Raw genomic sequence first — 16654 nt, 5'->3', positions numbered from 1 at the left:
ATCTGTACTGTAGCATGTACCAGTACTAGTCATGTACCAGTCATTCCTTTTTATGACTGGATAATATTACATCATATGGATATACCACTTTTGTAAATCAGTCAGTCAGCTCTCGGACATTTGAGTTCTTTCCACTTTTTAGCTATTATGAATAAAGCTGCTAGGAATATTCATGTATAGGATTTTGTGTGGATGTATTCTTTCATTTTTCTTTGGTATATAGCTAGATGTGGAATTGCTGGATTTTATAGCAACTGTGCCTAATCTTTTGAGGAATAACCATCTTACTTAGAATAGTGAGAGTGAAGTGGCATCTCATAATTTTCGCATTTGTATTTATAAAGAATATGGTCTGTAGTTCTTTTCTTGTATCTTTGTCTGGCTTTGGTATCAAGATAATGCTGGCCTCATAGAATGTGTTAAAAAGTGTTCCCTTTGCTTCTGTTTTTTTTTTTTTTTTTTACAAGAACTTGCATAGTATTGGTGTTCATACTCCTTTAAATGTTTGGCAGAATTTACCACTAAAGCCATCTGGTACTGGACTTTTCTTGGTTGGGAGGTTTTTTAAACACTGATTCAACATTTACTTGTTATAGGTCTGTTGAGACTTTCTATTTCTTTTGAAATCAGTTTTGGTAATTTGTGTTTCCAGGAATTTTTCCATTTAATCTAAATTAGCCAATTTGTTGGCATATAGTGCTCATAGTACTCTCTTACAATCCTATTAATTTTTGTAAGGTTGGTAGTAATGTTTCTGATTTTATTTATTTGCCTCTTCTCTTTTTTTCTTAGTTTAGCTAAACATTTATAAATTTTGTTTATCTTTTCAAGAACTAACTTTGGTTACATTGATTGTATCTATTGTTTTTCTATTCTCTACTTCATTTATCTCTGCTCTAATCTGTATTGTTTTTTTCCTTCTGTTGGCTTTGGTTTTAGTTTGCTCTTCTTTTTTTAGTTCCTTAAAGTGTAAAGTTAGATAATTGATTTGAGACGTTTTTCCTTTTTTATGTAGGATTTTACAGCTATAAAATTCTAAGTATTGCTTTCACTGCACCCTGCGTATGTTGTGCTTTTGTTTGCATTCACTTCAAAGTATTTTCTGATTTCACTGCTGATTTATTCTTTGGCCCATTTGTTGTTGGAGAGTATGTTGTTTAACCTCCACATATTTGCAAAATTTCAAGTTTTTCCTTTGTTGTAGATTCCTTCATTCCATTGTAGTCAGAGAAGATACTTTGTATAATTTAAATCTTTGAATATTTATTGAAAATTTTTTATGGCCTAACGTATAGTCAATCCTGAAGATTGTTTCATGTGCACTTGAGAATGATGTACATTCTGTTGTCTTTGGGTGTTCTGTAAATCTCTTTTAAGTCTAGTCAGTTTATAATATTTTTCAAGTCCCGTATTTTCTTATTGATCCCGCTCCAGTTTTCTTTTGGCTACTATTTGCACAGAATATCTCTTTCCATCCTTTTATTTTAAACCTATTTTTGTCTTTGGAGCCAAAATAAGTCTCTTGTAAGCAGCATATAATTGGATTGTGTTGTTTTTTAATACAGTCTTTCAATCTCTGTCTTTTGACAAGCTTAATCCATTTGTATTTCAAGTGATTACTGATAATAAAGGACTTGCTTCTGCCATTGTGCTATGCTATTTGTTTGCTATATGTCTTACATTTTTCCTCCTCAATTCTGCAATATTGCCTTTATTTAAGGCAAAACTTCCATTCAGGTGTTTTGGCTTTCTTTATTCAAGTGTAGTATTTTGATTTTCTCTTTTTTCCTTCTCTGTATTTGTTTAAGTTATTTTCTTAGTGGTTACCATGGGGACTACAGTTAACACCTTAAATTTATGACAATCTAATTTGAAGCTAATCTGAATCTAGTATGATAACAACTTAGCTTCAATAATATACATTAACACTGCCTATATTTCATTCCTTCCCTCCACCTTTATGTTGTTACTCTCATAAATTCCTTTTTATATATGTGTGCATTTTAACATAAACTTATAATTATTATTTTATGCATTTGTCTTTTAAACCACATAGGAAACAAAAAGAAGACTTATATACCAAAATACAATACTACTAGCATTTATATTTACCTGTATAAATAAAAGACTTATATTTACATAACTCAAAGACACACAAAGATATAAAGATCACTGGTGTGATCACTTTGTGTGGCTTTGAATTACCATCTATTATCCTTTTGTTTCAGCCTGTAAGGCTCCCTTTAGCACTTCTCCTAGGGCAGGTCTATTAGCAATTAACTTCTCTTGCTTTTGTCTGTCTCAGAATATGTTTCTTACTTTTTCATTTTTGAAAGATAGAATTCTTGGTTGACAGTTTTTTTTTTTCTTTCAGCACTTTAAATATATCATCCCACTGCATTTTGGCCTCCATGATTTCTCATGAGAAACTGGATGTTAATTCTATTGAGAATCCCTTGAATGTGATGAGTCACTTCTCTCTGGCTCCTTTCAAGATTCTCCCTTTGTCTTTTGAGAATTTGATTATAGTGATCCTAGTGTGGATCTCTGAGTTTATGCTATTTGGAATTCATTAATCTTGGATGTGTAGATTCATGTCTTTTATCAAATTTGGGAAGTTTTTGGCCACTATTTCTTCAAAAAATTTTTTTGCCCCTTTTTTCTCTTCTTCTTCTGGGACTCTCAGAATGTGTATGTTAGTGTGCCTGGTGACTCTCCATAGGTCTCTGGGCTTTGTTCATTTTTCTTCATTTTGTCTCCTCCTCAGACTGGGTAATATCATTTGTCCTATCTTCGAGTTCACTAATTCTTTCTTCTGCCTGATCAAATATCCTATTGAACCTCTGTAATACATATTTAATTTCAGCTATTATGTTTTTCAGCTCCAGATTTTCTATTTTGTTCCTTTTTTTTGTGAGACAGGGTCTCACTCTGTTACCCAAGCAGGAGTACAGTGGTGCAATCATAGCTCACTCTAACCTATAACCTCAAACTCCTGGGTTCAAGTGATCTTTTCATCTCTTTCCTCAATAACAAGAACTATAGGTGTGTGCCATCATGCCTGGCTAAATTTTAAATTTTTGTAAAGAGGGGGTCTTGCTATGTTGCCCAGGCTGGTCTCAAATCCTGGCCTCAAGCAATCCTCCCGCCTCAACCTTCCAAAGTGCTGGGATTACAAGCATGAGCCACTGTGCCTGGCTGGCTCATTTTGATTATTTCTGCCTCTTTATTGGTATTACCTACTTGTTCATATTTGTTCCTCTGATTTCACGTAGTTCATTTCCATGGTTTCCTTCTGCTTATTTGAGCATGTTTAAGACAATTGATTTGAAGTCTTTGTCTAGAAAACTCAATGTCTGGGCTCCCTCAAGGATGATTTCTGTCGATTTCTGTTTTTCCCCTCTAAATGAGCCATATTTTCCTATTTTCTTGTATGCTTTGTAAATTTTTGTTGATAACTGGACATTTTGAATATTGTATGTGGTAATGCTGGAAATCCATTTGCAGAGATTGCTGTTGTTACTTGATGAAGGCCACAGTCATCCATTTCTTTGGTAATTTTTCCAAACTATCTTGCAAAGACCATATTCCTTGTCTTGTGCTGTGCCTGGCTGGTTCATTTTTATTATTTTTGCCTCTTTATTGGTCACTGAAGTCTCTGTCCCATTATTTCCATAGTCAACCAGTGACCTTACAGAGATTTCCTTAAATGCCTGGATCCAATAAGATAAGAAAAGGAGAAAAAAAAAAAAAACAGTGTCTGTTTTTCCATTCCCTCCAACCAGTGTCACTAGAGAAGCGACTTCAGCCCATGGGGATTAAAACAATGGCCAGCCTTTGTTCTGTCCCCTCAGTGATAAAAAACAGCAATCAAAATGTACAACCCCAAGTTCTGGAGAGCAATGTTTTTATTACCCACCCTGACAAAAGCAAGTCACACCAACAGTGCAGGCTGCCATCCCCATAGCTGCCTGCCATCAGGGTAGGGATGGTGAGGGTAGCCATTCATTAAAAACCAAAAAATTTACTAAAATTTATCTAACTCTTTTTTTTTGACTATTTAATTTTATTTTTAATTGTTTTATTTATTTATTTTATTATTTTTTTTTAATTGATCATTCTTGGGTGTTTCTCGCAGAGGGGGATTTGGCAGGGTCATAGGACAATAGTGGAGGGAAGGTCAGCAGATAAACAAGTGAACAAAGGTCTCTGGTTTTCCTAGGCAGAGGACCCTGCGGCCTTCCGCAGTGTTTGTGTCCGTGGGTACTTGAGATTAGGGAGTGGTGATGACTCTTAAGAAGCATGCTGCCTTCAAGCATCTGTTTAACAAAGCACATCTTGCACTGCCCTTAAACCATTTAACCCTGAGTGGACACAGCACATGTTTCAGAGAGCACAGGGTTGGGGGTAAGGTCACAGATCAACAGGATCCCAAGGCAGAAGAATTTTTCTTAGTACAGAACAAAATGAAAAGTCTCCCATGTCTACTTCTTTCTACACAGACACGGCAACTATCCGATTTCTCAATCTTTTCCCCACCTTTCCCCCCTTTCTATTCCACAAAACCGCCATTGTCATCATGGCCTGTTCTCAATGAGCTGTTGGGTACACCTCCCAGACAGGGTGGTGGCCGGGCAGAGGGGCTCCTCACTTCCCAGCAGGGGTGGCCGGGCAGAGGAGCCCCTCACCTCCCGGACGTGGTGGCTGGCAGGGTGGGGGGCTGACCCCCCCCCACCTCCCTCCCGGACGGGGCGGCTGGCCGGGCAGAGGGGCTCTTCACTTCCCAGTAGGGGCGGCTGGGCAGAGGCGCCCCTCACCTCCCGGACGGGGCTGCCAGCGGGGCAGGGGGCTGACCCCCCACCTCCCCCCAGGATGGGGCGGCCGGCCAGGCGGGGGGCTGACCCCCCCCACCTCCCTCCCAGATGGGGCGGCTGGCCGGGCGGGGGGCTGACCCCCACCTCCCTCCCGGACGGGGTGGCTGCCGAGCGGAGACGCTCCTCACTTCCCAGACGGGGTGGCTGCCAGGCGGAGGGGCTCCTCACTTCTCAGACGGGGCGGCCGGGCAGAGACGCTCTTCACCTCCCAGATGGGGTCGCGGCCGGGCAGAGACGCTCCTCACCTCCCAGACGGGGTCGCAGCCGGGCAGAGGTGCTCCTCACATCCCAGACGGGGCGGCGGGGCAGAGGCGCTCCCCACATCTCAGACGATGGGCGGCCGGGCAGAGATGCTCCTCACTTCTTAGATGGGATGGCGGCCAGGCAGAGACGCTCCTCACTTTCCAGACTGGGCAACCAGGCAGAGGGGCTCCTCACATCCCAGACGATGGGCGGCCAGGCAGAGACGCTCCTCACTTCCCAGATGGGGTGGCGGCCGGGCAGAGGCTGCAATCTCGGCACTTTGGGAGGCCAAGGCAGGCTGCTGGGAGGTGGAGGTTGTAGTGAGCCGAGATCACGCCTCTGCACTCCAGCCTGGGCACCATTGAGCACTGAGTGAACGAGACTCCGTCTGCAATCCCGGCACCTCGGGAGGCCGAGGCTGGTGGATCACTCGCGGTTAGGAGCTGGAGACCAGCCCAGCCAACACAGCGAAACCCCATCTCCACCAGAAAAACACGAAAACCAGTTACGCGTGGCGGCGCGCGCCTGCAATCGCAGGCACTAGGCAGGCTGAGGCAGGAGAATCAGGCAGGGAGGTTGCAGTGAGCCGAGATGGCAGCAGTACAGTCCAGCTTCGGCTCGGCATCAGAGGGAGACCGTGGAAAGAGAGGGAGAGGGAGACGGTGGGGAGAGGGAGAGGGAGAGGGAGAGGGAGAGGAAGAGGGAGGGGGAGGGAGACCGTGGAAAGAGAGGGAGAGGGAGACCATGGGAGAGGGAGAGGGAGAGGGAGAGGGACTAATTCTTTTTTTTTAATAAAGCACTTTCCAGAATTCTGCAAGTGTTTGACTAGACTTCAGAGTTCTAAAATAGTTGCTTCAGTTATCTTCCATGTTGTCATCCCACTAGCTATCTTTATGTTTTAGATTTCTAATTAATTCCACTGTGGTCAAAGGACACACTTGGTATGATTTCAGTTTTTGAATTTGTTGAAATTTGATTTCTGGCCTGTCTATTTTGGTAAATGTATCTTGTGCATTTGAAAATGATTTTGATGTCTGGATGCAGTGTTCTATAAATGCTAATTAGGTCAAATTTGTTAATTGTATTGCTCAAATCTTTCATATCCTTCTTGTTTGTTTATTTCTCTCATCCTATCAGTAGCTGAAAGAGACCTCTTTTAATTTCCTACCATGATTGTAGATTTGTCTATTTTTCTCTTATAACTGGTTTTACTTCTATCATCTTATTTAATGAAAATTCTCTAGTTTTAACGATTCTTTTGCATTTTATTTTTTACAAAAAATTTTTCTTTTTATGTTTTCTTATCTACTTATAAGCAGATATATGTATTATCAACTGAGACAGTATCTATTGACTATCCATATTAAAATATTAAAAAATTAGAATGTTCCCTTTCTCAGCTCCCTTCCCTCTCCTCTGTTTTATTCCCTAACTTTAGTTGTTTGTACAACTTTTGTTAGTTGGTCTAGTGGTACTATTAATTATTTATAAAATGTAAGTTAAACTCATACCTCCATTACTTGATTCATTAGCTTTAAACAATGCAAAAGGAAGAAATTAGTATGCTTAGATTACTTCTCATTTTCTTTTCTACTTCCAACTTTTACTAATTCTACCTCTTTCTGGTTTGTAACATTTACATTATATTTGGAAACCAAAATTTCTTCACGTGTTTGACTTTAAGTCTACTTTAAATAGGTTTAATGCTCAGCATCAATACTTTTGGCATAGTCTCTTATTTATCTTTTGATAGACTGAAGTTTGTTCCCTGTATTTTCTTCAAAGGAGTTGACTGGGAATATATTCTCTACGTCCTTGCATATTTTAAAATACCTGTTTCCTTTATTTTTGAATGGTAGTTTGCCTGGATGTAAGCATAGTATAACACCCTCTTTTTCTGAGGACAATATAGATATTGTCTCATTGTCTTATAATATTAATGGTTGGCCAGGCATAGTGGCCCAGTCATGTAATCCCTACACTTTGGGAGGCAGAGGTGGGAAGGATCGCTTGAGGCCAGGAGTTCAAGACCAGCCTGGGCAACATAGTGAGACCCCCCCCGCCCGCCACTGCCATCTCTACAAAATAAAAAATCTTAGCCAGTTGTGCTGGAGTGCTTCTTTAGTTCCAGCTACTCAGGAGGCTGAAGAGGGAGGGTCACTTGAGCCCAAGAGTTCAAGGCTGCAGTGAACTATGATTGCGTGACTGCACTCCAGCCTGGGTGACAGAGCAAGACCTTTTTGCAAAAAAAAAAAAAAAAAAAAAAAAATTAAATGTTATTGTTGGAGGCATAAATCCAGTCTTGTTTTTGTCCTTAAAGGTGGTTTGATTCTTCTGCATGTCCTAAAAGCCTGTCGTTATCTTTGGAGTTCTCAGCCTTTACTGGGATTCATTTTATTGTTTATCCTTCTGCATCAAATTTCCCTGGGATTATTTTAGGGACATAATAGTGGTGGCATCAGTATAGTCTCTTATTATCCCAGAATTCCCATGTTAAAATAGCAAAGCAGCAATGTTCTGGGTGTAATCTTACACTGCAATTTAATAAAATATCACGGCTATGGTTTTAACATGTTCCCCTAATTTCATGTGTTAGAAACTTAATCCCCAATGTGGCAGTATTAAAAGGTTGGGCCTTTAAAAGGTGATTGGATCATGAGAATTATGCCCCCATGAATGGATTAATCCATTCAAGGATTAATAGGCGAGTGGATTAATGGGTTATCATGGGAAGAGAACTGGTGGCTTTAAAAAAAGAAGAAGAGAGACCTGACCTAGCAGGCTAGCATACTCAGTCCCCTTACCATGTGATACCCTGTGCCACCTCAGGACTCCTCAGAGTCCCCAACAGCAAGAAGGCTCTCACCAGATATGGCCTCTCAACCTTAGACTTCTCAAGTTTTCCTATCTGTAAGAAAATCCTTTTCTTTATGAATTATCCAGTTTTGGGTATTCTGTCACAAGCAACGGAAAATGAACTAAGATAGTTACCATTTGAGAAAATTAGGCAAAGTATACAAGAAGTCTCTATTATGTCTTACAACAGCAGGTCAATCTATAATTATTTCAATAAAAATTTCAATTAACAACAGCAACAACAACAACAACAACAACAGACACTGGACCAGGATTCAGAAGGTATGTGTGCAAGTATCAGCTCCACTACAAATAAACAGTATGACTGGCTGGGTGCGGTTGTTCACGTTTGTAATCCTAGCACTTTGGGAGGCTGAGGCAGGCAGATTGCCTGAGCTCAGGAGTTCGAGACCAGCCTGGGCACTATGGCGAAATCCCGTTTCTCCTAAAAATACAGAAAATTAGTCAGGCATGGTGGCAGGCACCTGTAGTCCCAGCTACTTGGGAGGCTGAGGCATGAGAATTGCTTGAACCTAGGAGGTGGAGGTTGCAGTGAGCCAAGATCATGCCACTGCACTCCAGCCTGGGAGACAGGGCAGGAGTCTGTCTCAAAACAAAACAAAAACAAAAACAAAAACAAAAAACTGTATAACCTTTAGAAAACCACTTAAGCTTTCTCAACGTCAATTCCACAATCTCTAGAACTAAAGAATTAAAATAGAAAAAACCAGCAGAGGAGTAAATAGCAAAATTAAAATATATGGGCAGCATTTACAATAAAACTAAGTAACAAGGTAACCCCATGGGCCCCAACAAGAAAGTGGAGAAGATCCATGCACAAAATCTTACTCGGTGGTACCAACATCTGTGGAAGAAGCAGCGGGAAGCAACAGGGTGCCTGACGCATCCAAAAAGAAGAAAATAAAAAATAGCCAACAGGTATCCTCTGAAACGCATGGCAGGCCAATTCAAAAATGGTAGCTGAAACAGGGACTGGTTCTTCCAAATTCAGTGGAGGATGAGTAGCCAGGTGTTGAAACTGAAGGACTGGAGGAGTCTAAGTCACAGAAATTCTCAAAACTGATAAGCCAGAGCCTCCTTTCAGCACAAACTCCGCACTGAAGAGGGAGGATTAAAATTGATTCAGAGACGGACTATCAAGACAAAGAAGGTACAAATAGAAGGTATACATTAAAAATGGTGAGGCGGATAGAGCTAGAAAAATATCAGAAAGCAAGTCACCATACTTTTTTGTTTTGTTTGAGATGGGGTCTTGCTGTATGTTGCCCAGGCTAGTCTCAAACTCCTGGGTTCAAGCAATCCTCCTGTCTAAGCCTTCCCAGTAGCTAGGACTACGGGCACATGGGACAGCACCCAGTCATATTTTTGAATACTACATAAAAACAACTGAAGAGGGAAATGTGTGAATCATGTCCCCTTCTAAAAGTTTAGTAAAACTACTTTCACATGAAAATGAGCCGCAAAAAAATATGGAGGGAAAATTTTGTACAAAGTTGTTACAAGGACTAAAAGACTAAAGAGCAGAATAATTTCTGAAGATACTGTGGTCTGAATGTTTGTGTTCCCCCTAAATTCATATGTCGAAACCTAATCACAAAGTTGATGGTGTTAGAAGATGGGGCTTTTGGAATGTGATTAGGTCATCAGCGCTCCACCTCCATGAGTGAAATTAATACCTCTCTTAATTCATTTTATGCTGCTATAACAGAATACCTGAGATAGGATAGTTTATTTTTAAAAACACAGAAATTTAATTCTCACAGTTCTGGAGGCTGAGAAGTCCCAGATCAAGGCACCAGCATCTGGTGAGAGCCTTCTTACTGTGTCCTCTCATGATGGAAGGCAGAAGGTAAGAAAGAAATCAATTTCCCCTATCAAGCCCCTTTATAAGGACACCTGAGCCCATTCACGAAGGAGGCGCTCTCATGGCCTAACCACCTCTTAAAGGTCCTATCTTTTTATACTGTCACGTTGGCAACACCTGAATTTTGGAGGGGACGCATTCAAACCATAGCGATGCCCTTATAAAAGAGGCCCCAGAGAGCTGTCTTACCCTTTCACCGTGTCTCTTACCTTTCATTTTCTTTCAGAGAGTCTCTGTTTCCCAGCCTCCAGAACCATGGCCAATAAATTTATGTCGTTTTAAATTACCCAATCTAAGGTGCTTTGTTATAGCAGCCCAAATGGACTAAGACACAAGGACAATGAGATCACACCAGAAAGGTATAACCACCAAACAAATCAATGCTGTAACCTAGGGGTTCTAAGATTCCACCCAATTTCTCCCACCTATTGTAAATAAAAACTAAAGAACTCTGGAAAGTAACAGCAGTTTGAGGAAGGAAGTCAACACTTTAATGTAACCAATATGGTGGTGAGTTCTCTGATTTTTGTTTTTCCTTCCATAGCTACCTGCTGAGACCCTGTGGGGGGTGGGGGAAGTCCATAATATATTTTCTCTCTCTTTACTTTCACCAATTTGCCCTGAGACAGACCCAGTCATGAAAAGTTTGTGACAGTAAAGGGAAGCTAAAACCCCAGCTTTGTAGCCAGAGCACCAGAAAAAGCGGCCCCTAGGAGCCAGACTGTATGGAGTAAAGCATAGAAAGGAGGCAGCCATAGAAAGGGGTCCTTAAATCCGTGCATGGGTAGAAATGACTTGAAGCAACATCACGAAGGCTTTGGGAACTGAAATATGGTGTAAACCACCACCTGGGTCCCAGACTGGCCCCTAGGTGGCACACGCATGATGCAGACCCGAGCGGCATTGCAAAGGCTTCAGAAAGTGTGGACGTCGGAACCACACACCTCACTCAAGGCAGGTCAGGATTTAACAGGGTTAACTGACAGCTAAAACAAACAAACAAAATCAGCACTCCAGAGGACACTGACAGGATTCAAAGTCTCACAATATAATATTCCAAGACACAATCCAAAATTATGCAACATTAAAAGAGAAAAACAGGAAAACTCCAACAAATTGTAAGAGAAAAGACAATCAAAAAAACCTGACATAATGCTGATTTTAAAATTACCAAAGGCTTAGTAGTAGCTATTACAACCATGCTGGATGAGGCAGAACTAAACACCCTTGAAACATTGAAAGATAGCAGCTCTCAGCAAAGAAATGAAAGCTGCAAAAATAAACCAGGTAGAGATTTTAGAACTGAAAAATACAATAATGGAAATTAAAAATTTACTGAAGAGGTTTAATAGCAAAATGGGGATGACAGAGGAAGAGTCAGTGAACTCGAAGACAGATCAGCAGAACTGGGCCAGGAGCAGTGGCTTACACCTGTAATCTCATCACGTTGGAAGGCAGAGGCAGAAGGGTAGCTTAAGCCCAGAACTTTGAGACCAGCCTGAGCAACATGTTAAGACCCCATCTCCTCAAAAAATTAAAAAATTAACCAGTGTGGTGGTGAGCACCTGTAGCCTCAGCTATTCAGGCGGCTGAGGTGGGAAGATCGCTTGAGTCCAGGAGTTTGAGGCTGTAGTAAGCTATGATCATGCCACTGCCTCTCACCTGGGAGATGATGCTTCTGGGCCTCCTGGTGATATGAACTCAACATCTCCTCATCTCTCCAGGTCTCCCCTCTGTGAGTGTGTGCTTGCATGCACGTGTGTGTGTGTGTTCCCTTCCCTTTCCTACTTTGTCACCCTCTTCTTGCTGGCGTAAGTGGGAGTTAACAGGATCTCAAGAGCTCTGTGGTCTCTCAGCTTCCCTGGGTAATTGTTCCAGATTACTTTTCCTTATTCAAAGGCTCAGCTGATTCCAACTTTAACCTTGAGGCTATTTAACAGGTTCTCAAAGCTCTTGTATCTGCCTTTGGTTAGGTGCCTCTCCTGTCTCCTTCCCATACATTCTCTTCCAGAGACGTCTCTGCTTATGGAATCAGACTTACTTTTATCTCACTCTTTTTTTTGTAGACAGTATCACTCTTGTTGCCCAGGCAGGAATGCAGTGGCATGATCATGGCTTATTGCAGCCTCAACCTCCTTGGCTCAAGCAATCTTCCTGCTTCATTTTTATTTATTCGTGTGTGTGTGTGTGTGTGTGTGTGTGTAAGGACAGGTCTCACTATGTTACCAAGGCTGGTCTCTAACTCCTGGGCTCGAGCAGTCTTCCTGCCTCAGTCTCCCAAAATGCTGGGATTATAGGCATGAGCCATTATGCCCAGCCTTATCTCACTTTTTAGAAAGCTGCCTTCTGTCAAGGTGAATATGTGACATGGTTTGGATATGTGTCCCCTCCAAATCTCATGTTGAAATGTGATTCCCAATGTTGGAGACGATTGGATCATGGCAGAAGGGGATTGGAACAAGGGGGCGAATCCCTCATGAGCAGTTTGGCACCATCCCCTTGGTAATAAGTGAGTTCTCACTCAGTTGACAGGAGATCTGGTTGTTTAAAAATCTGGGACCTCCCCTCCTCTCTCTCTCTTGCTCCTGCTCTTACCTTGTGAGATGCTGGCTCCCACTTCACCTTCCACTATGATTGCAAGCTCTCTGAGGCCCTTGGCAGAAGCCGAGCAGATGCTACTACCATGCTTCCAGTACAGCCTGCAGAACTGTGAGCTAATTAAATCTCTTTTCTTTATAAATTTCCCAGCCTCTGGTATGTTGTATAGCAATTCAAGAATGGACTAATACAATACGAGACCAAGTTTTATTCCCTCCTCATCAAAAATGCTCTTAAAAGTGACTTGGTGGCTGGGCGCAGTGGCTCACGCCTGTAATCGCAGCACTTTTGGAGGCTGAGGCGGGCAGATCACCTGAGGTCAGGATTTGAGACCAGTCAAGCCAACATGGTGAAACCCTGTCTCTACTAAAAATATAATAATTAGCCAGGCATGGTGGCGCATGCCTATAATCCTAGCTACTCAGGCTCAGGAGGCTAAGGCAGAAGAATCGCTTGAATCTGGGAGGTGGAGGTTGCAATGAGCCAAGATCACACCACTGCATTCCAGCCTGGGCAACAGAGCAAGACTCTGTCTCAAAAAAAAAAAAAGTGACCTGGTCACTTTCCCCAAGATCATCACTTATGCCCTGGATCATTCTTCCTTATGACCCAGATTTAAGTGCAAAATGTTTCAACCATGTTTGTTTGTTTTCATCTACCCTCTCCTCCCATCTGGCTCCCTTCTTATTCTACCTCTTTAGCAAAGTCTTTCTATTCCAACAATGAACAGAGAGAAAGAGGTAGAGGTCATGGCATGCACTCATTCTGCTGAAAAGAGTTCTCATGGAGGAACTCACAGATTATTTGCCGAGTGATGGAATAAAACCTCAATTCTTGCCATGGTTCTGCCACAAACAAGCCAAGTAACCTTGAGCAGGCATAAAATCTTAGATGTTTGAAACTCTATGGAGCCTTAAGAGGTCATCTAATCCAGTTCTCTACTTTTACATATGCAGAAACTGGTGCCTGGAGACGTGATATAACTTGTTCCCAGTCATGAGATTGGTTAATGGCATAGTTGGGTCTTACACACAGGACTATCATAATGCTCTTTCCATCAACCCTTGCCAAGTCTCTCCATTTCATCCACAAAATGGACACAGTAAGAATTATAGATGAGATCAAATGTGCTAATGCTGATGTTGGAGTTTGGAAAATAGAAAATATTCAAATGAGAGGTTATTTACTTTGCTGACAATCCCCACTGGAAACTGACTCACTGCTGTGCCCCAGTGGAAGGTCAAGTCCCAAGGGAGGTCTAGGCTGGCTCGTCCACCTCTCTTGGGGCCTGCAAACTTTTAATGGCAACACAGTAGACAGCCATGGCTGCTGAAGCTAATGAGGCTCATAGGAACCACTTTAAAAGTTGTTCTGCTCAAATATACTGGAAGTAAATACCCAGATCTCAACAACAAATTTGTTAAGGGATGTGGGATGAAGATGGGTTGTCTTCTTTCTCTATTTTACAAGTTGATTACAATGTTATTTATTGTTTTTGGTGTATCATACCTGGCCCATTGTGGATATTATGCAAATGTTTGTTAAAGATGGAATCAATACTTTAAAATTTAATTTCTTGAAGAGTAGGAGAGCAGCAAGAGGCATGACCAGATATACCTCTATGCTCAATGCTGGGGATTCAAAAACAAGACATCCATTCTACTCTCAGAGAACTCACGGTTTGGTTGGAGAGAGAGACCCAGAAACACATAAACGCACTAAAGATAGAAATGCCTCACCTAGAAGAATGCTCAAAGGCTAAAGGGCTGAGCAATTAGCCATGCTCGGGAGACAGGGGAAGCCTTCCTAGATACGGTGTCATTTGAAGAAAGGAGAAGTTCAAGTGTGTTAGGCAGACAAAGGAGGGAGAAGTGTGTTTCTGGCAGGAAGAACAGAGGCTCAGAGATGAAATGGCCCAGCATACACTTTATATTTTATTTTATTTTTAATTATACTTTAAGTTTTAGGGTACATGTGCACAACGTGCAGGTTCGTTACATATGTATACATGTGCCATGTTGGTGTGCTGCATCCATTAACTCGTTATTTAACATTAGGTGTATCTCCTAATGTTATCCCTCCCTCCTCCCCCCACCCCACAACAGGCCCTGGTGTGTTATGTTCCCCTTCCTGTGTCCATATGTTCTCATTGTTCAATTCCCACCTATGAGTGAGAACATGCGCTGTTTGGTTTTTTGTCCTTGCGATAGTTTGCTGAGAATGATGGTTTCCAGCTTCATCCATGTCCCTACAAAGGACATGAACGCATCATTTTTTATGGCTGCATAGTATTCCATGGTGTATATGTGCCACATTTTCTTAATCCAGTCTATCATTGTTGGACATTTGGGTTGGTTCCAAGTTTTTGCTATTGTGAATAGTGCCGAAATAAACATACGTGTGCATGTGTCTTTATAGAAGCATGTTTTATAATCCTTTGGGTATATACCCAGTAATGGGATGGCTGGGTCAAATGATATTTCTACTTCTAGATCCCTGAGGAATCGCCACACTGATTTCCACAATGCTTGAACTAGTTTACACTCCCACCAACAGTGTAAAAGTGTTCCTATTTCTCCACATCCTCTCCAGCACCTGTTGTTTCCTGACTTTTTAATGATCACCATTCTAACTAGTGTGAGATGGTATCTCATTGTGGTTTTGATTTGCATTTCTCTGATGGCCAGTGATGATGAGCATTTCTTTCATGTGTCTTTTGGCTGCATAAATGTCTTCTTTTGAGAAGTGTCTGTTCATATCCTTTGCCCACTTTTTGATGGGGTTGTTTTTTTCTTGTAAATTGGTTTGAGTTCATTGTAGATTCTGGATATTAGCCCTTTGTCAGATGAGTAGATTGCAAAAATTTTCTCCCATTCTGTAGGTTGCCTGTTCACTCTGATGGTAGTTTCTTTTGCTGTGCAGAAGCTCTTTAGTTTAATTAGATCCCATTTGTCAATTTTGGCTTTTGTTGCCATTGCTTTTGGTATTTTAGACATGAAGTTCTTGCCCATGCTTATGTCCTGAATAGTATTGCCTAGGTTTTCTTCTAGGGTTTTTATGGTTTTAGGTCTAACATTTAAGTCTTTAATCCATCGTGAATTAATTTTTGTATAAGGTGTAAGGAAGAGATCCAGTTTCAGCTTTCTACATATGGCTAGCCAGTTTTCCCAGCACCATTTATTAAATAGGGAATCCTTTCCCCATTACTTCTTTTTGTCAGGTTTGTCAAAGGTCAGATGGTTGTAGATAGGTGGCATTATTTCTGAGGGCTCTGTTCTGTTCCATTGGTCTATATCTCTGTTTTGGTACCAGTACCATGCTGTTTTGGTTACTGTAGCCTTGTAGTATAGTTTGAAGTCAGGTAGCGTGATGCCTCCAGCTTTGTTCTTTTGGCTTAGGATTGGCTTGGCAATGCGGGCTCTTTTTTGGTTCCATATGAACTTTAAAGTAGTTTTTTCCAATTCTATGAAGAAAGTCGTTGGTAGCTTGATGGGGATGGCACTGAATGTATAAATTACCTTGGGCAGTATGGCCATTTTCATGATATTGATTCTTCCTGCCCATGAGCATGGAATGTTCTTCCATTTGTTTGTATCCTCTTTTATTTCATTGAGCAGTGGTTTGTACTTCTCCTTGAAGAGGTCCTTCATGTCCCTTGTAAGTTGGATTCCTAGCTATTTTATTCTCTTTGAAGCAATTGTGAATGGGAGTTCACTCATGATTTGGCTCTCTGTTTGTCTGTTATTGGTGTATAAGAATGCTTGTGATTTTTGCACATTGATTTTGTATCCTGAGACTTTGCTGAAGTTGCCTATCAGCTTAAGGAGATTTGGGGCTGAGACGATGGGGTTTTCTAGATATACAATCATGTCATCTGCAAATATGGACAATTTGACTTCCTCTTTTCCTAATTGAATACCCTTTATTTCCTTCTCCTGCCTGATTGCCCTGGCCAGCACTTCCAACACTACGTTGAATAGGAGTGGTGAGAGAGGGCATCCCTGTCTTGTGCCAGTTTTCAAAGGGAATGCTTCCAGTTTTTGCCCATTCAGTATGATATTGGCTGTGGGTTTGTCATAGATAGCTCTTATTAGTTTGAGAAAAATCCCATCAATACCTAATTTATTGAGAGTTTTTAGCATGAAGTTTGTTGAATTTTTTCAAAGGCCTTTTCTGCATCTATTGAGATAATCATGTA

At 41.4% G+C, this 16654-nt stretch overlaps 1 annotated feature.

Annotated features, from left to right (window-relative positions):
* Positions 5137-5637: an enhancer, noted in NCBI's record as "H3K27ac hESC enhancer chr17:56219338-56219838 (GRCh37/hg19 assembly coordinates)". NCBI's record gives its function as "activates a minimal SCP1, AML or CMV promoter by ChIP-STARR-seq in naive H9 embryonic stem cells {active_cell/tissue: H9 hESC(naive)}" and the evidence as "EXISTENCE:reporter gene assay evidence [ECO:0000049][PMID:30033119]".

Source organism: Homo sapiens, chromosome 17 (assembly GCF_000001405.40).
Source record: "Homo sapiens chromosome 17, GRCh38.p14 Primary Assembly".
NCBI classification, from domain to species: Eukaryota; Metazoa; Chordata; class Mammalia; order Primates; family Hominidae; genus Homo; species Homo sapiens.
This window is presented reverse-complemented; position numbering and strand designations above follow the sequence as displayed.